The sequence below is a fragment of the Homo sapiens genome, chromosome 4 (genome assembly GCF_000001405.40).
Source record: "Homo sapiens chromosome 4, GRCh38.p14 Primary Assembly".
In the NCBI taxonomy this organism is placed as follows: Eukaryota; Metazoa; Chordata; class Mammalia; order Primates; family Hominidae; genus Homo; species Homo sapiens.
This window is the reverse complement of record NC_000004.12, coordinates 11,258,300-11,285,325: the sequence shown is the minus strand read 5'-3', so window position 1 is coordinate 11,285,325 and position 27,026 is coordinate 11,258,300. Positions and strand designations below refer to the sequence as shown.

The 27,026-nt window shown below is 40.2% G+C and overlaps 1 long non-coding RNA gene across 1 annotated transcript; it reads right to left on the bottom strand.

Moving 5' to 3' along the window:
* Positions 1-4,269: 4,269 nt before the first annotated feature.
* On the bottom strand, positions 4,270-25,693 carry LOC105374488 (uncharacterized). The gene is made up of 3 exons (XR_925402.2): positions 25,362-25,693; positions 12,813-12,923; positions 4,270-4,772 (listed from the first exon to the last, which is right to left on the bottom strand). It is a non-coding gene; the product is annotated as an uncharacterized LOC105374488 (long non-coding RNA).
* Positions 25,694-27,026: the final 1,333 nt, after the last annotated feature.

The window sequence follows — 27,026 nt, the reverse complement described above, 5'->3', positions numbered from 1 at the left end:
ACAACACCGCTACTACTATGATTATTATTTATTTGACACATATTTTTGAGTGCCTACTATGTGCCTTATCTCTAAAATGGAGGTGAATCACCTCCTTGAGGAATTATCATTGGGCTTAAACATAATGTGATGAGGATATGATATGGGTTTGGATCTGTGTCCCCACCCAAATCTCACCTAGTGGCTCCCATAATTCCCACGTGTTGTGGGAGGGACCAGATGGGAGATGATTAAATTATGGGGCAGGTCTTTTCCAATGCTGTTCTCGTGATAGTGAATCGGTCTCATGAGATCTGATGGTTTTAAAAACAGGAGTTGCCCTGAATAGGCCCTCTCTTTGCCTGTTGCCATCCACAGAAGCTGTGACTTGCTCCTCCTTGCCTTCTGCCATGATTGTGAGGCCTCCCGAGTCACGTGGAACTGTAAGTTCTCTGTTTAACCTCTTTCTTTTGTAATTTACCCAGTCTCAGATATGTCTTTATCAGCAGTGTTAAAACAGACTAATAGAGTAAATTAGTAAGAGTAGAGTGGGGTGTTGCTGAAAAGATACCTGAAAATGTGGAAATGACTTTGAAAATGGGTAACAGGCAGAGGTTGGAACAATTTGGAGGGCTCAGAAGAATACAGGAAAATGTGGGAAAGTTTGTAACTTCCTAGAGACTTGTTGAATGACTTTGACAAAAATGCTGATAGTGATATGAATAATAAGGTCCAGGCTGAGTTGGTCTCAGAGGGAAATGAGGAACTTGTTGGGAACTGGAGCAAAGGTGACTCTTGTTACATTTTAGCAAAGACAATGGTGGCATTTGAACCTACCCTAGACATTTATGGAACTTTGAACTTGAGGGAGATGATTTAGGGTATCTAGTAGAAGAACTTTCTAAGCAGCAAAGCATTAAAGATGTGACTTGGGTGTTGTTAAAGGCATTCAGTTACATAAGGGAAGCAGAACATAAAAGTTTGGAAAATTTGCAACAGGACAATGTGGTAGAAAAGCAAATCACATTTTCCGATTTCATGAAAGTCACATTTCATGAGGAGAAATTCAAGCCAGCTGCAGAAATTTGCATAAATAACAAGGAGCCAAATGTTAATTCCCAAGACAGCGAGGAAAATGCATCCAGGGCATGTCAAGGTCTTCACTGTAGCCCCTCCCATTACAGGCCTGGAGGCCTAGGAGTAAAAAGTGGTTTTGTGGGCTGGGTCCAGAGTCCCCGTGCTGTGTGAAACCTAGGTACTTGGTGCCCTGCATCCCAGTCACTTCAGCCATGCTGAAAGGGGGCAATGTAGACCTTGGGCCATGGCTTCAGCCTTCAAGTCTAAAGCCTTGGCAGCTTCCATGTGATGTTGAGCCTGCCAGTGCATAGAAGTCAAGAACTGAGGTTTGGGAACCTCCACCTAGATTTCAGACCATGTATGGAAACACCTGGATGTCCAGGCAGAAGTTTGCTATGGGGGTGGGGGTCTCATGGAGAACCTCTGCTAGGACAGTGCAGAAGGGAAATGTGGGATCGAAGCCCCACACAGAGTTACTACAGGGGGCACTGCTTAGTGAAGGGGTGAGAAGAGGCCACCATCCTCCAGAACCCAGAATGGTAGATCCACCAACATCTTGCACCGTGTGCCTAGAAAACCCACAGACACTAGAAAAGCCACAGACACTCAATGCCAGCCCGTGAAAGCAGCCAGGAGGGAGGCTGTACCCTGCAATTCCACGGGGGCAAAGCTGCTGAAGACTATGGGAATCTACCTGTTGCATCAGCGTGACCTGGATGTAAGACACAGAGTCAAAGGAGATCATTTTGGAGCTTTAAGATTTGACTGCCCCACTGGATTTAGGACTTGTCTGGGGCCTATAGCTCCTTTGTTTGGCCAGTTTCTCCCATTTGGAATGGTTGTATTTACCCAAAGCCTGTACCCCCATTGTATCTAGGAACTAACTAACTTGCTTTTGATTTTATAAGCTCACAGGCAGAAAAGACTTGCCTTGTCTTGGATGAGACTTTGGACTATGGACTTTTGATTTAGTGCTGAAATGTGTTGAGACTTCATGGGACTGTTGGAAAGGCATGATAGGTTTTGAAATGTGAAGATATGAAATTCGGAAGGGCCTGGGGCAGAATGATATTGTTTGGCTCTGTGTCCCCATCCAGATCTTATGTTGTAGCTCCCATAATTCCCACATATTATGAGAGAGACATGGTGGGAGATGATTGAATTATGGTGGTGGGTCTTTCCTGTGCTGTTCTCGTGATAGTGAATGAGTCTTACCAGATCTGATAGTTTTAAAAGTGGGATTCCCTGCACTAGCTCTGCCTTTGCCTGCCCCCATCCACGTAAAGTGTGACTTGCTCCTCCTTGCCTTCCACCATGATCGTGAGGCCTCCCTAGCCACGTGGAACTGTGAGTCCAATTAAACCACTGCCTTTTGTAAATTCCCCAGTCTTGGGTATATCTTTATAAACAATGTGAAAACACACTAATACAGGATAAAACTTTCCTGGTGCAGCATCTACTCAGTTCATTATCATCTGAGTCCAACTGACTGATTGCTGTCTCTACTGAGCCCAGATCTGCTTTCTCTACTCACAGTCATATATCTACCCCGCAGGAATCGGACTATGGGGAAGACTATGAGCAAGAGATCTGCCTTAAGAGCAAAATTTAAGGAGTTCCAAAAATCTCAGTAATAAGATACATAATATATTTATATTTTATTTTGATATATTTAATATGGTATCTAAAAAGCAAAATTAATGCCAAAAAACCCAAGCTAAACAAAATGTCATATTTTAAAGGCAGGCAAGACCAGACTACACTTGCATGACCTGGCCTCACTTGACTCATCCTACTTCCAGCCCTGCTAGCCCTGTCACAAGTGATTTAGACTTTTCTTCTTGAAAAATGACTAGAAAAGAAGGGCATCCTCTATTGCTGGTGGTGAAGATAAAGTAAAAAAGATGTTTGAAACAGTTTGAGTTCTTTCTTAGAATACAGCATGTACCAGGTTTAGTCCTTTTTAGAGGACACTTCTGAGACAAAAAACATTTTGGTTATCTTACCAATCATTTATGGGAGAAATGGTATTTTTCCTAGTAATATTCCCAAACTTGAGACATTTCTGAAGGTCTTAGGGCTTATCCTTGAGAATTTCCGACATTAGAAGAACCTCTGTGTTTGCACTTACCTCAATATATTGAAGTTTATAGAAAGGAGGTATGTGTAAATTCCTTTCATGACTATGAGCTTCTAAGGGTCACCTAGTCTCCAACACCAAACCTGGCATGGATAAATGTGAAAGAATGTGAAGTGACTCGTAAAATTATACAGGAAGTGTATTGCCCAAAACTTATGGTGACTAGAAACTTGAAACATTTACTCCCACATTTTCCCCCTTCTTTTAAAAATATTTAATATTTGAGGAGAGCCTAATAGGATGAGTCACTGTTTCACATGCTCACAGGCATCATGAAATGTGTTGTGTAATACAATTTAATCAAGTTCTCCAACACTTTGTAGTTGATACCATTAATCCCATTCTGAGAAGAAGACACAGGTTCAAGTAGATAAACCACTAACTAAAGGTCACAAAACTGGCAATTCAGCTGGACTCCATGCTTTGCCATAACACCATGTGCTAGCACCCCAAGTCCAGAGAAGAATGGGATCTAAAAGTACATTAATAATGTGGAATGTTTGTCCATATCTGGCTCATCCTCCAAGGCTCAGTTCCAGTATGTTCTGTTCCATGAAGTTTGCTAGACATCCACTTGTTTAGAATGACATTTGCCTTCTTTATCATGTGAATACACTGGCAGCATGTAACTATGGACTTAATTAGAGTTATCAATATTTTAACTAATTTTTTCTTAGTTGGGTTAATGTCACCAGATTTTTAGCCACTCAAGGGCTAATCCCTTGTCTCATTGTTGAAGAATTTTATCTATCACAATCTCAAATCTTAAATTCAAGCCCAAAGGGTAGAGAGTTCATATATTGAAGGACTTCCTTTTAGAATGTCTTGAATTTATAAATGTAGACACTGAGAACTAGAGAGATTAAGTAGTTTATATGAAGCCACACGACTAATTCGGCCATTCATAGATATTTATTAACTATTTCATGGGAGGCACAATGAAAAGAAAGACAGAATGAAAAGAAGGAAAGAATGAATAAACGAGATCATTTCTGTCAAACGCTACCTGGCACAAAATACAACAGAAAGATGTAACAGAGAATGGGTGGGGGCTGCATTGTGTTATGTAGGGAGGTCAGAGAAACCATTTTGAAAGAAGTAATAATAACATGAGGACCTGAATGTGGAGAAACAGGTGATCATGCAGAGTTCTAGGGAAAATGCATTTCATGAAGCAAGTGCAAAGATCTATGGTGAAATAAGGCTGCTGTATTCAAAAAGTAGATGAAAACATTGAGTCCAGAATGCAGGAAGCCACAAAGAGTTGGGGTTTGACACCAATATAAGGGGAAATCATTTGAGGGTTTTAAGCAGGGAAACTGCAGGATCAAATTTCCATTTTATAAGAGTAAATGTATGTGAACAATGGAGAAGCAAGAGTGAAACAGAGACCAACTAGAAAAGCATTTTACTATTAACTGAACCAGGATTGGAACATAGTCTTTGTGCTCCTCGTCCATCCCCGTCTGTCTTCATGTGTTCCTTCTTGCTGCTCCTCTGGTTTTCTCCTCATCCTAAAATATCTCTCTGGGAGCATCTCTCACCATGGATAAGGCATTTTACTTTAGAGGCAACCCTGGTGAGCAGATGAGATTACACTTTTAGGGTTTTTGCATTGAATTGGACTTAAGATGCATTTCTGAAAAAGAGGTTCTGAACTGTGAAGCGTCACTGTACAGGATGTTCAGCAAGCCACTGCTCCTTAAGCACACACACTGCTTCTTGGTGTGTCATATTTCCAAAACAAAACAAAGAAACAGAAAGGAGCAAGTGAAGCTCCTATGGGGCTCATTTCTCTAGGTTTCAACTCCTCGTTGTCCTTAGTGGTACAATGTTGAGAGACCAGCCAGACAGTGAAGTCGATTGAAGAATGGAGAGTGGCCACACTGCCCTATGCATGTTGGCTAAAGGTTATCAGTATGTTCCCTCATTTTCCCAAGAAATGCTAAGTGTTTTCCCACAACCTTCTCGATGTCTTCCATGTTGATGGGCTAGCAAGCGTGGATGCATTGGGAGGGGCTCCAGCTGCCAGCAGCCACTCAAATTCTAGGCAGAGATTTTAGCTGACTCCAAAGAGGAATTACCAGCTAATATTATTACAGCGTCCTTTTGAAAAACGTATTTTTATAGCCTCATAATATGCATACTTTTGATTCACCCTCAGCATTAACCTTGAGTTGTTTAAACTTATAACTAAGCCCTCTGAGTGTAGGGACCCTGGTATTTTTGCAAGGAAATGATCAATGGAGAGAAATGGGGGATGTGTGGGTCTCTGGTTGGCAGTAGAGATACTGGAGCCAGCAAAAGGTTCCCAAAAAAGTTAAAGGGAGTTCCCAATCAGAATGGGCATATCAGAAAAAAAAAGTGGGGGAGAAAGACAAATGCCTGGATAATGAAATGAGAAGAATAAGAGAAAGAGACTGATATATAATCAACTCCAACTCCACTCAGAGCATCTCATTTAATCTGCTCAGTAGCCGGGCAAGGACAGATTTCCTGTCCTTGTCCTGCTGATATGACATGGGAGGCTCTGGGATGTGAAGTTGACTGTTAAGGTCATGCAGATGGCAAGAGGCAAGGGCAGGCTTCGAACCCAAGTATGCCTGATGACATGGTCCTGTCCTATGAAGGGTTTATGATGTAAAAAGAATGTACAGGAATTAAAGGCAATGCACCCTCTATGTAGGACCATGGGTAGGAGAAACTCTCTCTGGAACTCCTTTCAGGATGGACAGGCAGGGAGCTCAGGAATGAGAGAGCTCAAAGCCTTTGATTGCCTCTGCCTGTGTAAGTAGCTGGGGCTCAGTGAAGTTTTCTGGGACGCCTGAGAATCTTCAGTTTCTAGGAGTTCAGAGGTTTCAGAGTAGCTTGTTAACAAATTTCCATTTCTCTAAACTGTTCGACTGTTTGACTTTTTTTAAGTTACCTTTCCTAATCCTTCCTGACAGAAACTATATTAAACAAGATTCTTCTGGTTACAAATGGCAGAAGTTCAATTCAAGAAAAAATTGGGAAGTTATTGGCTCATAAAACAGAAAGGTCGAGGAGGTTAAGCTAGCATCAGGTACAACTGCATTCAGATATTCAATGGTCACCTGGATGCAGGCACTCAATGGTCACCTGGATGCAGGCATTCAATGGTCACCTGGATGCAGGCATTCTATGGCCACCTGGATGCAGTCATTCAATGGCCACCTGGATACAGGCATTCAATGGTCACCTGGATGCAGGCACTCAATGGTCACCTGGATGCAGGCGTTCAATGGTCACCTGGATGCAGGCACTCTATGGTCACCTGGATGCAGGCACTCTATGGTCACCTGGATGCAGGCACTCAATGGTCACCTGGATGCAGTCATTCTATGGTCATCTGGATGCAGGCATTCAATGGCCACCTGGATGCAGGCATTCAATGGCCACCTGGATGCAGGCACTCAATGGTCACCTGGATGCAGGTGTTCAATGGTCACCTGGATGCAGGCACTCAATAGTCAATTGGATGCAGGCATTCAATGGTCACCTGGATGCAGGCATTCAATAGTCAATTGGATGCAGGCATTCAATGGTCACCTGGATGCAGGCACTCAATAGTCAATTGGATGCAGGCATTCAATGGTCACCTGGATGCAGGCACTCAATGGTCACCTGGATGCAGGCATTCTATGGTCACCTGGATGCAGGCACTTTATGGTCACCTGGATGCAGGCACTCAATGGTCACCTGGATGCAAGCATTCTATGGTCACCTGGATGCAGGCACTCTATGGTCACCTGGATGCAGGCATTCTATGGTCATCTGGATGCAGGCATTCAATGGCCACCTGGATGCAGGGATTCAATGGCCAGCTGGATGCAGGCACTCAATGGTCACCTGGATGCAGGTGTTCAATGGTCACCTGGATGCAGGCACTCAATAGTCATTTGGATGCAGGCATTCAATGGTCACCTGGATGCAGGCACTCATAGTCAATTGGATGCAGGCATTCAATGGTCACCTGGATGCAGGCACTCAATAGTCAATTGGATGCAGGCATTCAATGGTCACCTGGATGCAGGCACTCAATAGTCAATTGGATGCAGGCATTCAATGGTCACCTGGATGCAGGCACTCAATGGTCACCTGGATGCAGGCATTCTATGGTCACCTGGATGCAGGCACTTTATGGTCACCTGGATGCAGGCACTCAATGGTCACCTGGATGCAGGTGTTCAATGGTCACCTGGATGCAGGCGTTCAATGGTGTCATCAGAATGCAAACCCTTTCTCCCTCTCTAGACCTACATGCCTAGGTACTGAATTCTTTTCTGGGCACACATTTTTAAACAATGTTATGGCTACTGTGGCTCTCAATGAGTCCAGAGAAAAATCATTGTGTGTTCCTCAATAACACTAACACACTTTGTAATGTCTCTGATCTACATGGGTTGCATCATATGCCCATTGAAAAAATAATCAATAAGCCCAAGGGTGTAGAATGTACTCATTTGCCAGGTGTGCCTACAAGCCCACACGTGAACTAAAAGCCCACCCGTGGCCTACAAGCAAACACCTGATCCCAAGATGACTCTTCCACCACTAGCGTATTCCTGGAGCTGGGAGGTAGGAAAGCATTGGATGGACTTGAGGACCTTAGATTAACAGTTTGCGGGAGAGAAGGAAGGGCTGGGTCGATAAAACTTAGATGCTAGTGTCAGAAGATGAAGGAAATAATTCTGGAAAGTAGTACAAAATGAACAGTTGCCCCCTATAGGCGTCATATTATTCTAATCTGCATTGAGCCTTTTAAAAATCTTTGCTTTTCAAAGAGTGGTTTGTGGACTGGTAGCATCAGCGTCATCTAGGAGCTTGTTAAAAAGCAGAATCTCAGGCTTCACTGGGGCGCACCAAATCAGAATCTGCATTTTAACACGATCCCTCTGAGAGCTATGTGAATACTGACGTTTGAGAAGCACCAATCTAAACTTTGTCAATCACTATTTTATCAATGGACAAACATTCCTTAGGTAGGAAAATGAAACTCAGTTTCCTAATGAGGAGATTTTGATTCCAAAATACAGGCTCTGTTACTAAGCTTAATAAATCTGGGCTGATTATTTTTTGTTTGTTGTCCTTTGCTTCTGTTTTCACGTCAGGAAAGTGTGGGATTTGGATTGGAAAATCTCTGAAATTTCTGTCAGTGTCTGACCTTTCAGAAGTCTAGTTTTCCTAGGTATCAGAAGGGAGGTAATTTGGGGATTATAAAAACCATAATAAAGGGTTTTCTGCAACTGTCAAAAAAGAACAATGCGGGCTGGGCGCGGTGGCTCACCCCTGTAATCCCAGCACTTTGGGAGGCCGAGGCGGGTGGATCACGAGGTCAGGAGATCGAGACAATCCTGGCTAGCATGGTGAAACCCCGTCTCTACTAAAAATACAAAAAATTAGCCGGGCATGGTGGTGGACGCCTGTAGTCTCAGCTACTCCAGAGGCTGAGGCAGGAGAATGGCGTGAACCCGGGAGGTGGAGCTTGCAGTGAGCGGAGACAGTGTCACTGCAGTCCGGCCTGTGCAACAGAGCGAGACTCCGTCTCACAAAAAAAAAAAAAAAAAAAAAAAAAAAAGAAAAGAAAAAGAAAGATGCATTCAGAGGTAGTCTTTGGAATACAAAATCAAGATTTCCAATTTAGAATTCAACCAAGTTCTACATTAACGATTTTAAACAGTGGGTCCAAGGAACCTAGAATTCCAAGGAGGTGACAACATGTTGAAAATTCTTAACCTGATGGTATGGTTCTAATAGGTTCTACAGAAACTCAGATAAAAGATTCTTGTACCTGCTACAAGAATTCAGGTACCCGTCGTGGAGGAGGCAAGTTATAAATTTTGCCTAGAAAACTGCATAGGATTGGGTTCTAGGAAGCCCAAATAAAGCTCCACAAAGCTAATGCTTGCCTCTTCTCATGCTATTAATTGTTCCTTAGAAAATAAAAAAAAAAATTAAGCAACAACAACTTCAATTAAATAATAGAAGCTACCACTTCCCGTGGTAATTAGAGAGATAGATCGCATGTAATTAATCCGGAGCCCCCAGAAGCTACTTTCACCCTTCGGAAATTGGCTTTCAGCCGTTCCCTTTGCAATGGAATGTTGGGGATTTTTAGTTGCCTTTTATGTTCAGTGTGTTATTAATAACCAAAACACCTCTGTGTAAAATATTAATTGCCTGTCTGCCAGCTTTCACCTGAATTTGAATACTTGGTCTATTGAAACCAAATCCATTATCATGCTTTGCTGGGTAACTGACCTCACTGGCAGAGCTTTAATGGAATCCTTGATGAATCTGATGCACACACTTTATCCCATATGGAAGATTTGTCAATATAACTATCATCCTCAAGAAGAAAAAAATACATTTTAAAATAGAAAGCAGATGAAAGCAGGCTCCATCCCACTTGCGGGTGCTACTTATTTGTGAGCAAGCATCCCAGGGAGCAAATTAAAGAGATAATGACTTTGGTAAAACTTGACTTGAAATGGAAGTTTGGAAGGGGAGCCCTGTTAATAGCTTGTCACTGCCTTTGTTAGAGGAAGCCCAGGGGGAAATGGAAGAGATAGCAAGCCAGTGTGCTCATTGCACCTCTAGCTAAAAAGCAGTGAGCTCTGCTGAGAGTAGATCTTAAGGGTGCAGAAAATTTATCCTGGGTGAGCTAACCCAATGTCATGACTTGCAGCATCATTTATAAATGAATGACCTTCAAACCCTGAACTCCAGTCTTCACCCCTCACTGTAACTCCTGAGCATGCTTGGCTTTTCCAGTTCATTCTTGTATTACTTGGGGGCACAGTAGCAAAGAGATGGCACATGTCAATCCACAATTTAAATTCTGCATACGTGACCATGTTTTAAACTAAAAGGACTATACTTCCAAAGGTTAGGTGGAGTTCAGGAAAACCAACAAGGGACAAGACAAAACCCTGAACTAGCAATAAGGGGAGCACTTAGACCATGAGACCCGAAAAGGCAAGAGGAGAACAGAAGTGGCTACAGTATATGTAGAAAGAAACAGAGGAAAGAATCATCAGCTGGGAGCTGTGGCCTTCAGAAGAGGAATGCAGTTAACCCTTGCAGGCCACACAAGCAAGGAGCCTGGGTGATCTATGTCCTGCTTTCACTCACGTTCCATTGTCTAATATTCTGGCACTTTCTATTGGATAAAACCAACTGGAAGAGACAGAGCATGGAGGTCCATGATACCATGGTCAGTCTCCCAGGATAACAAGCCTGATGGAAAAGACAGGAGAATCAGTGGGAGGGTCAAATAAAATATATTCTACACAGCTGGTTAGTGCATACCTCAAACCTACCAAGCCCCAAACGGAACTCGTTATCTCTTTTTACCATGTCCCGATCCTTTGCCTACCCCAGTCTTCTGCATCACAGGAATGACATTGTCAGCCACGCTGAGAGCCAAAACCTCAAAGCTACTCTTGAGCATACCCCCTTTCCCTCACCCCCAACTTGCCTTCTTTCAGCAAGTCCTATAGATTGACTTCCAAAGCATGTCCTTGACTTAGCTCTATCTCCACTGCCTCCATTCTGAACTGAGCCACGTTTCGTTCCCTAATGGATTATTGCAGTGGTCTCCAAGTTGCTCTCTTGCTTCCACTCTTCTGCAAAATCCATTACTGATGCTGAACAAAATCCAAACTCCTTGTTTATCCTTACAAAGGTCTGTGTCACGGGGTCCTTGCCCACCTTTACACCATTATTCCTTACTGCTCATTGCTAGCTACACCCTTCCAGCTCTACTGGCCATCCCCTGCCTTTCAAGTAGGTCAAATGTATTTCAACATAAGGATCTTTGTATTAGCTAATCTTTTTGCTTGCAAAGTCTTTTCTGAAATCACATGGCATGCTCTTTTTGGTCTTCAGGTGTCAAATTAAATGTCATTTTCCCAGAGGTGCTCTCCAGACCATCAAATCTGAAGAGGCCACTGGATTATTCCCTATCATGTTGCTGTGTTTTAGCTTCTTATATATTCGTTCATTCATCTGTTTACTTATGTATTGTTTCTGTTTTTTTTTTTTTAAGTTTAACTATCTGATGCTTTCACCATAATACAAAGCCCAGGAGGTCAATGGCCTGTCCCTCTTGTTTGTATAGGAGAATAGTAAGAGCTCAAAAAGATATTTCTGATTCAATGTTTGAGAGCAGTGGATATTAGTATATTTTTTCAAAAATATCCAGACTACAAGTAAAGGGAAGGCAAAAAAAGAATTCTGATTTGTGGATACAGTTTATGTGAATTAAAATCTGAGCTCTACCACTTAAGAGTTATAAGACACTATGGGAGAAATTACTGTTTTGAGGTGTCTGCCTTTTCATCTGTTAAATGGTGATCCTAATGTTACATATGTCATAGGTTTTGAGGGATTAAATAAAAAAATGCATATAAGATCCTCAACAAATTGCATAGCAAAGAAGTTACACCCTAACAATATTGGCTGTAATTTTATATAAAACAAGATTTTTAGTGTTGTTAGGGTGAGAACCAAAAATTTACAAAAACAAAACAACTAAAAATGACTTATGTATTTCAATTGACAAGTAAATTCCATTCACAATTATGTTTGTTTCCTTCACCATTATAGAACCAGAGCATCAGATACATAATAGACACTCCTTTGTTGCAAATGAATGAATGAATCAGTAGATGATATGCAGCATAATAGAATGGGAACATTTGCAATTCAAACAAAGTTAATCAGTTCACTCAAAAAAAGGAGTTATTGAGCTTCAACTATATGCTGGTGAATGTTTTAGGTAACAGAAAGACATGAATGAATAAAACATGCATGCCCTCTTGAAACGTAGATTGAGAAAAATAATTCAGGAAAGGCAAATCGGGCATGCTGAAGGGTTCTGCTTTTCAAGGGGTTGTCACAGAAGGCCTCATTGGGAAGGTGACATTCAAAAAAACCCTGTAGGATGTGAGGAAGCAAGTGCATGTGTATGTGAAAAGAACAATATTCCTGGTATAGAAAGTGCATGTGCAAAAGCCCAGGAGTGACAGCGTGTCTGATGTTCAAGAGGCAGAGAGGAGCCCAGCCGGCTGGAGTGGAGGAACAGGTAGAGCCTGAGCCCAGAAAGGTCATGGTGGTCAGAGAGCATACGACTACCAGAACCATTGCAAGAACTTTGGCTTCTACTACAGGTGAGAAATGGATTTGTAAAATAAGTGTGCAGTGGAGTGTGATGGCATCTGAATGACACTTGCAAGCACTCTCTGGTTGCTTGCATGAAAACAGACTGAAGAGGTGCAAGTACCAAAGTAGAAATACTGGTTAGAATGGTGTGGAACAGAATGGGAACAAAGGCAATGGTAAAACATTGGTCATGTTCAGAATTTGCTGGCAGATGAAATAAGACTATGAAAAAGAGAAATGTCTGAGACAACACAAGAGTACAAATGCACATTGGGTTTGATAACCATTTTTCTGAGATTTCATTTGGTGATGTGCCCAATTCTACTTTTCTTTTCAAAGATGACATCTTTGAATTTTGGTTGTTCCAAAACTTTGTGAACCCAACTCTCCAACACAGAGTCAGAATGAACATACTATGTGTCTAACTGACCTTAGTCCAGCATGTCTGGACAGGATGGCAGGATTTCTCAAAGTGTGTTCCTTGTAACATTTTCCCCAAGAAATTTTAAAGAATGTTGCAGGAAAAAGCCACAGAAGTTTACTAAAGATAAAAAAATTAAAGAAAAATAGTTAAATATTTGTTACCAAATTGATAAGAGCCTCTATTATATAACTGTACCTTGTGAATTTTCAAGACCATAGCATTACCACAGTATTATAGGCTAAGTTGTTTTCTCTCAAAATTTATGTGTCGAAATTCTAACTTCCAGGTCCTCATAATCTGACTGCATTTGGAGATAGTGCCTTTAAAGAGGTAACTAGGGTAAAAGGAGGTTGTGTGGGTAGGGTCCTAATTCAATAAGACTGATGTCCTAATACAAAGAGGAGATTAGGACATTGACACATATAGGCACAGGGAGAAGATGGCCATCTACAAGAGGGACACAAGGAGAAGATGGCCAGGGAGGGACACAGGGAGAAGGCAGCCATCTGCAAACCAAGGCCAGAAGACTCAAAAGAAAGTAAGCCTGCTGACACCTTGATCTTGGACTTCTGGCCTCCAGAACTGTGAGAAGATAAATTTCTACTTTTTAAGACACCCAGTTTTTAGCATTTTATTATCACAGCCACAGTAAGCTAACACAGGGTGCTTTTTTGTTCCAAAGGAATGAGAGAGGGAGGGCATTTATCCTATGGGAGGACAGCTCTATGCCTTGGCATTCATAGGAAATCAAGATCACTCAGGTACTATCGGAGGCAATAGATGGGTGCATGATTACAAAGTCTCTGAAAGGTAGAAGTGGGTCTTCAGTTACTAATGGTAAAAAAAAAATCATCAAAAAGCAGAAAATAAAAGCATATCAAAGAGGAAGAAAATAAAGTTTTATGCAAAACAGACATGTGATGGTTAATATTGACTGTCAACTTGATTGGATTGAAGGAAGCAAAGTGTTGTTCCTGGATGTGTCTGTGAGGGTGTTGCCAAAGGAGACTAACCTTTGAGTCAGTGAACTGGGAAGGGCAGACGCACCCTCAATCTGGGTAAGCACCATCTAATCAGCTGCCAGTGGGACTAAAACAAAGCAGGCAGGAGAAGACGGGAGAGCAGACTTGCTTAGTCTTCCAGCCTTCCACCCTGTGCTGGGTGCTTCTTGCCCTTGAACATCAGACTCCAGGTTTTTCACCTTGTGAACTCTTGGACTTACACCGGCAATTTGCCAGGGGCTCTCGGGCCTTTGGCCACAGACTGAAGGCTGCACTGTCAGCTTCCCTACTTTTGAGGTTGTGGGACTCAGACTGATCCAACACTGGCTTCCTTCCTCCTCAATTTGCAGATGGCCTATCACGGCACTTTACCTTGTGATCATGTGAGTCAATTTCTCCTTAATAAACTCCCTTTCTTATATACATATATCCTATTAGTTCTCTCCCTCTAAAGAACCATGACTAATATAAGACACAGGGGATATTTTTTATTTAATCTGAAGAAAACATGTTGAAGATTTTAAATTAAAACAAGGAGACCACACCCACCTAAGAATGCACCATAGATTCTTAGATACCCAGAGATGGTACTATGCCATGATCCAACAAGTGGCTTTCCCTATTTAGCTGTTAATTTAGACTAATTCTACATCCTAATTTGGGAAATTTGAGAAGAATGGATAATTACAGAATCCATGCATGCTAAACCTAGTATGCTTATGATATGCTTTGCCCTGTTAATTGCATTTTATTTTGATAATTTCTTAAGACTGCTAACAAAGCTCTAAAAAGGTGCGCGTGCATGTATGTGTGTTGAGAGTGATGGGTAATACACTATCAAAGGCTACATTCCATAAAAATCGATTCATGGGAGAACTTGCAGAATGGTGTACTAAAAAAAAAATATATATATATATATATATACAGAAGAGTTTTCTTTCATCCAACTCAGTTGATTCAGAGGTCTTTAAGGGTCTCCCATAAATTACCAAGAGAAGGAATTAAATACTCTTCCTGAAGTGTTTCTTTTTTATAAGTGTCACGAGCTGCAGAGATAATTAATTTCTTCCCTGTAGACTTGTCCTAAACACCTGATGAGGTGTTACAAAAAGAAATTTCATGTTTCATATCAGCACTTTCAGATGCTATCATTAACTACTAGACTAATCGTGAAATGGATCACAAGATAGACATGCATACAGAACTAGTACAAAGTTTCTAGAAAGAATTTGGCATTTAAAATTTTATGCACTGAATTCCTTCGAAGCAAACCTGAAAATGGAGAGATACTAGCTTGAAGAACATAGCTCAATAGTGAGATAATTTTAATATTCTATTAATTTTTGAGGGCCCTTTCCTCTGAGTATACATTAATTAACTCTACATAGACCTCGGTGTTAAGAAATCTTGTCTTTATGCCTCATAAAATACATGCTTATGCATTCAAGTCCCAACTGTTTCTTCCCATTTCTAAATATCTTCCTCTTACCAAAGCCTTCATGGCCATCATAAACCTCTCTCCATCTGTACTATCTGTAGAATTTACATTTGATTGTTTTATAGTAGTCTATATATTTCATACTATTCTACAGTATTCATTTTAAGGCTTATTAAAATAAATTAGGAGGCTATGGATATAGAAGAGGACTCAAAAATGAACTTTGCCTACTCTTCTGTAAAATAGGGATATTATTGCTTTCCATGAAGTATTCTTGGGAAAGTTAGAGGGAATGTGTAACAAATACATAGTGTCTGCTGGGCAGGGTGTCTCATGCCTGTAATCCCAGCAATTTGGGAGGCTGTGGCAGGAGGATTACTTGAGGCCAGGAGTTTGAGACCAAGCTGGACAATATAGTGAGACCCTATCTCTACAAAAAAGATGAAAATTAGCTGGGTGTGGTGGCCCGCACCTGTAGTCCTAGCTATCCAGGTGGCTGAAGGAGGAAGATTGCTTGAGCACAGGAGTCTGAAGCTACAGTGATTTATGATCACCACTACACTCCAGCTTGGATGATAGAACAGGACCTTGTCTCATAGATAGATAGATGAATAGATAGATAGATAGACAGATAGACAGAGTCAATAAATACCACCTTCTTGTTACTGATGATATTATCATCAATCTTTATTATAATCTCATTCATGCTTCTCATTTTGTAAATGAGTGATCTAAAAGTTTAACAAGGTCCCATTTTAATGTCATGGAAGAGGACAGACCAGGTTTCAAGAATACTACTTACTAGCCCCATGAATATTGTGAAAGGTATTTGACTGATCTTACATACCTTAGAGGAAACCTCAGTTCTTTCGTCTCTCTTTTGAGGGATAATTTTGAAGATTAAATAATATAATAAGTATAAGCAGCCTATGTGGAACCTAGTATATTTTAGACACTTAATAAATGTTAGAAAAGTAAAAAATGATATTAAAATAACTATAAGATACAAGTAAAAATATTTATATCCAAGGAGCATAAAATTCCTTCTAGGCCTTGGTGACTGATGCAAAGTTGGAGAAAAAAATAAGAGCATTCACTCTGCAAATCTGAGCTATAATAATACTAGGAAAAACAAATCTGATCATTTCACCTATATAGGATGATGACCTGGAAATTGGAAGAAAGAACAGAGTCCCTTTGGGGAAAAGATTGAAACCAAAGGTATAAGCTGACCTTGAGTACTTCAGGAGGTCACCAGTAGTATTTATTCAGGATGGAAAGAAGGGGTAGGGGCAGGGCACTCTTTCCTTTAAAAAGAAAAAAAAAAGCAGTGTTCACAATATAAAGGAGGACTTTTCTGGACTTTCTTATACTTACTTTACAATTTAATATGATTATTATTTAAATTACCCATGAGAAAGGTGGATACATCATATTACAGTGTTAAGACTTCTAAAGGCATTAACCTGGCCCTCATGAGCTAAATGCCAACCTGCTATTAAGATAAAAGTAAATGAGGTGCTTTGTACTTATGCCGAATCCCAGGCTGTAATCAGCAGAAACAAATAGAAAATCTGCTCCAATGTGCTCTTGTCCTAAGCTCCTCAGTAGAAGGAAACTGGAAGATAGAAAAGCCACACTCTATTTATGAAGTCTTATAATAAGAGCTGTTAAGTTGAGTAGGGTCAGGGTTGCTGCTTACAGTACAAATTATGTATTGCACAACCTCTGTGGCTTCGTTTACCTGGTAGTCATTGTTGATGTGTAGAGTTGTAATGTAGTTTATAGGCAGAATGGAATAACATGACTTGAGGAAGTAGTGCTTCTGTATAATTGGCACAAAATTGCCATACTGGCTACTCATTGTAGGTTGGGTAGGGAGAAAACTCATGCTAAAGTTGACCAGGTGACATTTTTTGGCTAAAAAAAATAATAATAAAGTCAAGAAAAATAAAGAAAATATTAGCAAGAGGGCAAAAAATAGAAAGAAATGATCAGCGTTCTGTAGGCACTGCTTCCTCTCCACAATGCTAGGACATGCCCAGAGAAGGTGCTACTTGTAATGATGTCTGTGAGTAGAAGGGTGTTGTATATATTTGTAAAACCTGGGTGTTACACCAACAAAGGAGATCAAATATCGTCAAAAGAAATTTGATGGAGACAGAAGAGTAGTCCTAGAGTGTCAGATCAGATGGATGGGTACAAAATGGAGTATTTACTCTTGTTTCTGATTTCTTAATGATCATCATTCAAGATGCAAACCAAGACTTCAAGCTCAACAAGATGAATTCAACATGTAAAAGCCTGCTTACTCTCCCCAGAAGCTGGAATAAGTGATGGCAGAGGAATGTAAACCCCAAATTAAAAGAGCACACAATAGAAGCAGCAGTTGAGGGATATCAACAAAATTTTGGAAGTGGCAACTCACATGGGTTGGTGGCAGCTGACTTGGCAAAGCTGAGAAGACTGAGAGCCAACACAGTGGAACTGATGTCGGGGGAGAAGCAAGGAGAGACGCAACAGGAAACAAGCTAAACTCCAAATGAAATGTTTCATAAACTGGAGGCTCCATGTGCCTTAAATGATGGGACTTTTCTTGGGGATAAAGTAGGAAGACTGTTTAAAAGACTACACAAGGAGCAATTGCATGCCCCAGTTCACCTGCCGACAAGTGTAGTGAGGCAACTGACAGAAGACTTTCTCTTTGGAGAAGGTGCCATTACGTACAGCTGAGAGCAGGAGGGAGGTCCGGATGGAAATAAGGGGATTAGGAGGAAGTCAACGGAAAAAGAAAAGAGATGCTCAGGCTCCTGACCTTGCTCATCTCAGAGAACACTTACAGTCAGGCTCCTACCACTGTGGCAGAACATTAGACGATTGTTGCTTGAAGAAATAGACCGAGAGAAGATAAATTTCTATGGATGTTACCACTTGGAAGGCCAGTAGTGAAATGGTAATGTTGCCTGATTAATTGGCTGCAGTGTTCCAGTCAACAGTAGGCACGGGCATGAAGAGCTTTCCATCAAAATTTTGAACTCTTCACTTTAAACAAGAATAAGAGTCAACAGACATTTGAAGGAAGACTCTAAGATCAAAGAACGATGTCATAATAAGAAACACAGTTTTAAAAAAATGAATTTGATGAAAGCAGAAACATGTAAGCAGCATAAAAATCTATCATTTGGATTCTTAGATAAAATAAGATACTGCATATGAAACAAGATCAGGAAGCTGTAAAAATATGAACATTCAAAGAAAAAATTATATAGGAAACTGAAATGTTAATAGCAGCAATTAAAATTTTCAATAAACTGGCTAAGAAATAAGGTTAAAGAAAATTGCCTAAAAGCATAGCAAAAAGATAATAAGATGAAAAATGGTGAAGAAAAGTTTAGAAATTTAGATGGTTTCAAGAGCTTCTACAACTGATTAGCATAAGTTCTGGGAAGAAGAAGCAGAGAAAAATAGAAGGAAGAAGTTTTCTAAGGAGAAAATCAGAAAACACCTAAAATTAAATGGTATATACTTTAATATTTAAAACAGCTTACCACATCCTCTCTCCCTGCAAAAAGGAAGAAAATCTATAAGAAGGCACATCATTGTGAAATTTCAGAAAATAGATTTAGACAATGTCTTAAAAGTTTTCAGAAAGAATGTAGAAGACACACAGAGAGAATTAGGAATCAGAATGGCATCAGACTCCTCCAAAGCAATATTAGAAACAATAGTACAATGACTTTAAAATTCTGACAGAAATGGAATTCTATAACCAGCTAACCTATCTTTTGAGTGTGATAGTAGAAGGCATTTTTAAAGTTCTCAAATATTTAAGCTCCCAGGATTTTAAAAAGTGAATCCATTGGAGATAATAAACCAAAAAAGACAAATTCCCCCAAATAAGATAGCCACACAGAGGACAGGTGAAGGGGATCCCAGCAGTGAGGGGGGATCCCCCCAAAATGGCAGTGCAGCAGGTCTGGGTGGCAACCGCTCAGACTGTGGCAGAGTGGCTGAGAGTGCAATGGGGAATATCTCACAAGAAACAAAACCAAAACCGACAAGCAAACAGTAGTCTCGCAGGTTACTTCCTATTGCGATAAGCTACACTAAATGTTACCGAATTTGATTATACCCGAAAAACATTGTACGGTCTGTCATAATGTTGGGTGTTAAATTAATAGTTCATTTGTTTTCTCTCAAAAAAGCATATAAGGAACAAAACAATTTGGGCTTAGAAAAGTGAACTATATGGAAAGAAAATGTAATGAAGTTTGCATAAGCTAAAGACTGTAAGTGCTGAATACTGTTTTATGTGAAACAGCTGCTAAAACTATGTTGAGCTGATGAAAGAGATGGAGTTGGTGGAGGTCTATGTTTAGGATAAGAAGGGACATGGTATTTCATCTCCCTCTGTAGCATATCAATAGATAATATCAAAGGCCATAAAGCAAATCATGGCCAGTCTGTTCTCCTGCAACATGTGTCTCTGGAATAAGAATTGCTTTGTATGTGTTTTTCACTCATATATGCAGAGATTCTGTTGGTCCATGGGAGAGTTTTTTTCAGTAGTTATTTGGAATTTATCAAAGGTAAACTTTCTTAAAATTTAAGAGGAAAGCGTTAGCAATATGCAAAGATCTTAAGAAAGAAAAAGATGAAAACTTTTATTGAAGTGCCTTCCTTCAGGAAAAATTGTGACATTTTAGTGCCTTTAATAATTACTACAATTTCCATTAACTGAAGGTGTAGGGGGAAGCTGAGGAGATGTTGATGAAGAACGTACAAGGTCATTTCTCTCTGTATTAGGAAAAGATTGATGATGAAGTCTACCCCTTGAGAAAGATTTTTAATTTTGATGAAACTGGTCTCTATTAGAAGCAGATGCCCCCAAGTATTAACATTTTGAAGAAGAGAATAAGAGCTCCAGTGTGGTAGGCTGCACAGGATCCAAGCACTGTGTTGCTGGATGAAAATGACACTGGAGATTTATTTGTGTGACTCATTTTATTACGTTTGATATGTAGTTGATGCTCCACATTTCAAAGTTTTGAGTGGTCTGCCCTCAACCCTAGTTTGCTCATAAATCTGTTATTTTTAGCCCTCAACTTCTGGAACTCTCAGCCTTTTTGGTAATATATTTGCCATCACAGCAAAAATACTTGTGCTTAGAACTATGGAGATAAATGCCAGAAGAAACAGCTAAAATAGATTAAAGTATTGCCTTTGGAGAATAGTAATTGAGAATAGGGAGGTATGAGAGCATGGGAATTCTCTTTTCTTTAAAAGCCTACTATGTATAACTTTGATAAAAATAAATTTTAAGTACAATAATAACTTCTAATGAAAAAGACTTGAGCAAAGAACACTATATGTCTAGGAATATAATGCATGAAACTGACATCCCACTTAGTAATATCATTCAGAAATACTGAGCAGATCTTAACAAGCAGTCTTTAAACATATAGCTGAGCCCTTAAGAAAGTAAACCACAGACAAAAAATAAAGAATTAAAAAACAGGGTTGCAGGTGTGGGGCTCAGCTCTCTGATGGGACAGAGAGGAAAGAAGAGTTGAGAAGTTGTTTTGAAGTCTCAGCAAAGAAAGACATTGGGGCTGGGACTCAAACATAAAGCCAAGACCCTCAAATGGCTTTGCCACAATTAATTGACATCATATCTGTCCTCACACTTAAAATTGACTTAAAAACATCCTTGTCTATCTTTTATTTTGGCCAGGACTGTATATAGAAGAAAAAAATCTCACCTGAGATTTTTTGCTATAACTCTGCTCTTGTGGATGTTTGAGAATTAAATTTATACTAGCTCCTTCAGCTAATAAATTAGACCAAAATGTGGTCCCAGGCTGGTGATACTCTGGGGTGTCTGGCAACGGCAAATTCAATGCATATCCTTACCAAGGCCACTCAAGAGACCACATGTAATATCCAGCTGAATGTGGGTTCACATCACAAAAGTACAAAATCCACCAAGAAATAGTCCAATTTTTAGCATTTCAACAAATGCTTATCAAGACCAATTCTGTGCCAGGCATTGATCTTGGCACTAGGATAACAGCAAAGAAGAAAAAATTAAAAAAAAAAAAAATTCCTCAGAGGAACTTATATTCCAGTCAAGGAGACAAAGTGCAGACCCAGCAAAAACTTCGACAGAATTAAATTCCCCAAACTTTAGAGAGTAGAACTATTGGATAACCTATGAAATACAAACATTGCTGAAAGAGAACACTAATGTATACATTAAAATAACTAAATAGAAACAAAAATGAAAAATGCAATCATTGAAATAATAACCAAAACCGATTTTGAGTGATGGTTTAAACAGCCAATTTAACAGAGACGAATGTAGAAACTGGCAAATAAATAGAAGAAAACTACTTGGAGTGCAGTAGGTGATATCCTGGGGTGCCTAGACAAAAAGAAGAGACAATGTGAAAGACAGTTTGAAATTCGAAGAAGGGAATGAAAAGGTCCAATTACTCTCAAGAGAATGAGAGAGATAATATGCAAAAAATACAATGAAGTGTTATTCAGCCTTAAATATAAAAGAAGATCCTATCATTTGGGGGGACATAAATGAAACTGGAGGACATTATGCTAAGTGGAATAAACCAGACAGAAAGAAAGATACTGCATGATCTCATTTATCTGGAATGTAAACAAAAGTTGAGAGCAGAGTAGAAAGGTGATTACCAAGGGTGAGAGATGGGCTGTGGAGAGATAGTACAAGGAATACAAAGTTGCAGTTATGAGGAGAAAGAAGCCTAGAGATCTAAGGTATCGCATGAAGACTATAGTTAATAATATCCTATTGTACACTGGAAATTTGCTAAAACAGTAGATTTCTCTTTTTAACACAAACACACACACATTATGTGTAACGACGGATACGTTAACTTTCTTGGTTATAATAATTTCACTCTATTTATGTACATCAAAACATCATGTTTTGTAGAACTTAAATATATACAATAAAATAAAAAGAAAAGTGAAAATAAGGGGAGCAAAAGAAAGACATAATGAGGTGGTGGTAACTTCTCAGAATTTATGAATGTCATGTTAGAGATAAACTGACATTTTCTCTTTATGTTGATAGGTCTATAGTATCCTGTGCATTCAAACAACATTACAAAATTTATATTCTATTGTTATTTTCTGTCTATAAACTGTTTTTTTCTTTCTTCTCCCTTTCCCTCTTCCTTCTTTTTCTCCCTTTCTTTCTCCTTTCCTTACTTCTGGCCAAAATTCCTTGAGTACCTGATCTTCATAGGCACTATTGAGAATGCAGTGCAAAGACTTGATGGGGAGTGTATTCCAGTTGGGAAGAACTTCTAGGTGAGTAGGGTCCAGAGAGAAAAGCTAGGGAAATAATGCAATCCTGGCCTCATCTGAATATTTCTTGCCTAAAGAGTCCATTGTGTTAGCATCCAATTAATTTGGTTAAATAACTAAAATGACAAATTTAATCTCCAATAAAATGTGTATAAAATAATGAGGTGGAAGAGGAGAGAGATGTAATATGAGGTTACATATGCCAATATGTCTCTATATGTATATATAAATGTGTGTGCAGAGATATGCGTGTGTGTGTGAGTATACACTTTCTCATGAACACATGCGCACAAGCAAGGAATAAAACATGCCTAGTTTCTAAAGCCTTTGTTTCTGTAACTGGTCACAAAGTTACAGTGGGTATTGACAACTTTTTTTTTCCATCAGCCTTTCCAAGTTTCCTTTGCTCTCAGCCAGGACCTCAGCTACTCAGTGTGTTTTTTTGTGTGTGTGTGTGTGTATCGTTGTTGTTGTTGTTTGCTTGTTTGGTTTTTGTTCTGTTTTGTTTTTTATCTTGTAGAGTGAGCCACACTCTCATTTTTGAAGGGTCTGCATCCTCAACTATTAGACATGGAAATACAGAGAGGAGCATTAGGGAATCCCCAGGGCACTAGACACAGCCCTGACTCTCCATTGTGGAGCAGCAACCCGTCTTCCCCTTGGTAATTGGGATCAGTCATGTCAGCCAGTGGTACATGTCCTTGCTTTCCTAACCTACTTTATAGGACATAGTGAGGGCTAGTTGAGATAGCGTATGGATACTGAGTACCAGGTATGTAGCAGGGTCTCTAAAAATATAAGCTCTTCCCCCTTGAGTTTTCCTTCAGATAGTACTTACATTACTGTTGATTACTGCTGGGGTTTTTAAAAAAGAGGTTTATTAATTTAAAAAATAAATAAATATATTTTCCTCCTTGCCTGTGTTAAAATAGTTTGGGAAATAATGTGTGTTTTTTTTAATGTTCAGTTATCACCTTCATTAACTATTGAGGCCATCCTGAAGGATGTAGCTTCAAGGATGAGCCAAGCTCACATTCTGAGCTTCAGGATTCAGTGGCAGATTGACCCATCTATTCCCTGCAGCACAGCAGAGCAGCTTGGCCAAGCAAGTGCTGCAGCATGAGCAGCAGAAGAGAGTCCATGCTCTCTAGGGGCAGCCAGCTCCTAAGAGGAAAGCAGAGGTCAAAGCTAACCAACCCCAGGTGATTCTTCCCAAATTTACCAATTAAGTAATTCAGCCTACCACCCCCATTCCCCTCCCCAAGGAGTATGAGGAGAGGAAAAACTGGAAATATGATGTTTGCTTAGGAGAAATCCCTCAACAAGGACCCTGGGGTAGAGTGTCTTACCACACTGTAGCAGTTACCATCCTAAATACATTAGGATGGGCCACATTCAGCCACCACTCCTGAATTTGCAGGCACGAATACAGTGCATGGCACTCATTGGTGAAATATGACCAGCCTGGCTTCCTAAGAGGAGCAGCAAGAGGAGCCCTCAAAAAGGATGAAGTTGTTGGCCAGGTGCAGTGGCTCACGCCCAAGACTTTGGGAGGCCAAGGCGGGTGGATCACTTGAGGTCAGGAGTTTGTGACAAGCCTGGCCAACATAGTGAAACCCTGTATCTATTAAAAATACTAAAAATAGGCCGGGCGCGGTGGCTCACGTCTGTAATCCCAGCACGTTGGGAGGCCGAGGCGGGTGGATCACGAGGTCAGGAGATCGAGACCATTCTGGCTAACACGATGAAACCCCGTCTCTACTAAAAATACAAAAAATTAGCCGGGCGCGGTGGCGGGCGCCTGTAATCCCAGCTACTCGGGAGGCTGAAGCAGGAGAATGGCGTGAACCCGGGAGGCGGAGCTTGCAGTGAGCAGAGATCGCGCCACTGCACTCCAGCCTGGGCGACAGAGCGAGACTCCGGCTCAAAAAAAAAAAAGAAAAAAATACTAAAAATTAGCCAGGCATGGTGGCATGCATGTATAATCCCAGTTACTCAGGAGGTTGAGGCATGAGAATCACTTGAACCCGGGAGGCAGAGGCTGCAGTGAGCCGAGATTGAACCAGTGCACTCCAGCCTGGGCAACAAAGTGAGACACCATCTCAAAAAAAAAAAAAAAAAAAAAAAAAGATGAAGATGTCAAGTCTCAGGTACTCCTGAGTCTGGAATCCTCCTGTGTGGAAATTTTAGATCCTTTTATCACTGTTTTATCCAAGATCCCATGACTCGTCTATTCAATAGTGTTTTTTTCAAAGCAATCTGTTGGGATAAAGTCCGATTCTGAAGAGGATTAAAACAAAATGTAGATTTAATTATATTTGTAGTCATTTGATAGGGAAAAAATACATATGTAACTAATTTTATGTGTCAAGACCCAGAAAGGATTTGGATACTTCATATGTTAGGAACAAAACAAACACACATTATTCTGATGTTCTTTCTTTAAATCCCCAAATCCCTGTATTTCTGCCAGGTGTGACGGTCTTTTCATTTCAGCAGTGAATACACAATGACACCACTTCTTAGAAAACCTAGACCAAAGAGAGGGTTATCTCCCCAGCTATCCATTTCTGCAAACAATCTCTCTTTCTCATGTTTCCCCTCCCTTCCTCTCATCTCAAACATGAGCCATCCTGTTTTCCCAGGGAACCAGGGTTGGAGAGCCACTTTCTTTTCACACAGTCTGAGGCTCTGTTTTTGGTGACAATTGTGCTGTGTCCTCTGAAGGAGGCCATCTGTTCACCTTGGCGGAGGTGAGTATCTCATTACCTGTCAAGATTTCCAAGTTGGCTCCTTTTATTGTATTGGAATCGACACCTTTTGATTCTTCAGCTCAAGTGCTGTTGGTGCCAGAATCTTTTTCTGGGGCTAGGGAGATGATTTCACAGCCTTGCTGGGGCCCCTTAGGAGATGTCTGACCAGGGTCCTGATGGCTTGGACATTGTTCACCCTCCTTCCTTATCATGCCTCACCAGCCCCACGTGGTGAATGCATTGTTGACATCATTTCTCAATTATTCACTGTTTCCCAAATAATGCAGAGGATGAAATAATGAAAGAAACAGGTTGACCAAAAAGCCTGCTAAATAAGCTCATTATTTGCAACCCAAATTAACTTTCCCAATAGATCATTAATGCCAGGTTAGTAAGCAGTATAAAGACATTCACCTATCTAGACTCAATTTATTTACCTTGATTGAAATAAGAAACAGAAGATAATTGCAAACCTTCCAATGATCTTATGAATCATTATAAATCCAATTACTTCCCTTTCTTCCCCAGATTGAGAAAGTACGTTATAAATAAATGAGGTCACTTTTCATATCTATGGAACAAACTGAAGCCCAAGGCCAGTTTGTCAGGGGATAGTATTAATTGGGGAAAATATCAAGGTGAGACATCAGTTATTTTTAGAACATATCTTCTTTTGGCAATCCTGTATGTCCCAATAAAACTTTATTTACAAAACCGAGTCATGGATCAGATTTATTCACTCCTGAACTAGACATTGTTGCCTATTTTTTTTACTATTGTGTTAAGAACACTTAACATGGGAACTACTCTCTTAATACATTTTTAAGTGTAAATACTGTGTTGTTATCTATAGGTGCTATGATGCACAGCAGATCTCTAGGACTTATTCATCATTTGTGAGTAAAACTTTATACCTGCTCAACAATAACTCCTCACTCCTCCCTCCCAGCAGCCACCATTCTATTCTCTGCTTCTACGAGTTTGACTCTTTCGGATTCCACATACAGATGAATTCATGCAGTATTTGCCTTTCTTTGTCTAGTTTATTTTATTTAGCATAATTTCCTCCAGGTATATACATGTTGTCACAAATGGCAGGATTTCCTTATTTTTAAGGCTGAATAGCATTCCATTTGTATATGTATCACATGTACAATTAGGTTGTTTCCATATCTTGGTTATTGTGAATGATGCTGCAATGAACATAGGAGTGCAGATATTTTTTTCAAGATCCTGCTTTCAATTATTTTGGATAAATACCCAGAGGTAGAATTGCTGGATCTAAGGATAAGTCCATTTTTAATTATTTGAACAATTTTTTTTGGAGACAGAGTCTTGCTCTGTCCCCCAGGCTGGGGTGCACTGGCATGATCCCAGCTCACTGCAACCTCTCCCTCCCAGGCTCAAGCAATCCTCCCACCTCAGCCTCCCAATACCACACCCAGCTATTTTTTTTCTATTTTTAGTAGAGACAAAGTTTCACCATGTTGTCCAGGTGAAACTCCTGAGCTCAAGTTATCTGCCTACCCAGCCTACCAAAGCGTTAGTATTACAGACGTGAGCCACTGCACCCGGCCCGAAGAATCTTCATACTGCTTTTCACAGCAGCTACAGCATTTTGCTTTCCCACCAACAAAGTACAAGGGATATAATTTCATCATCTCCAACATTTATCTTTTTT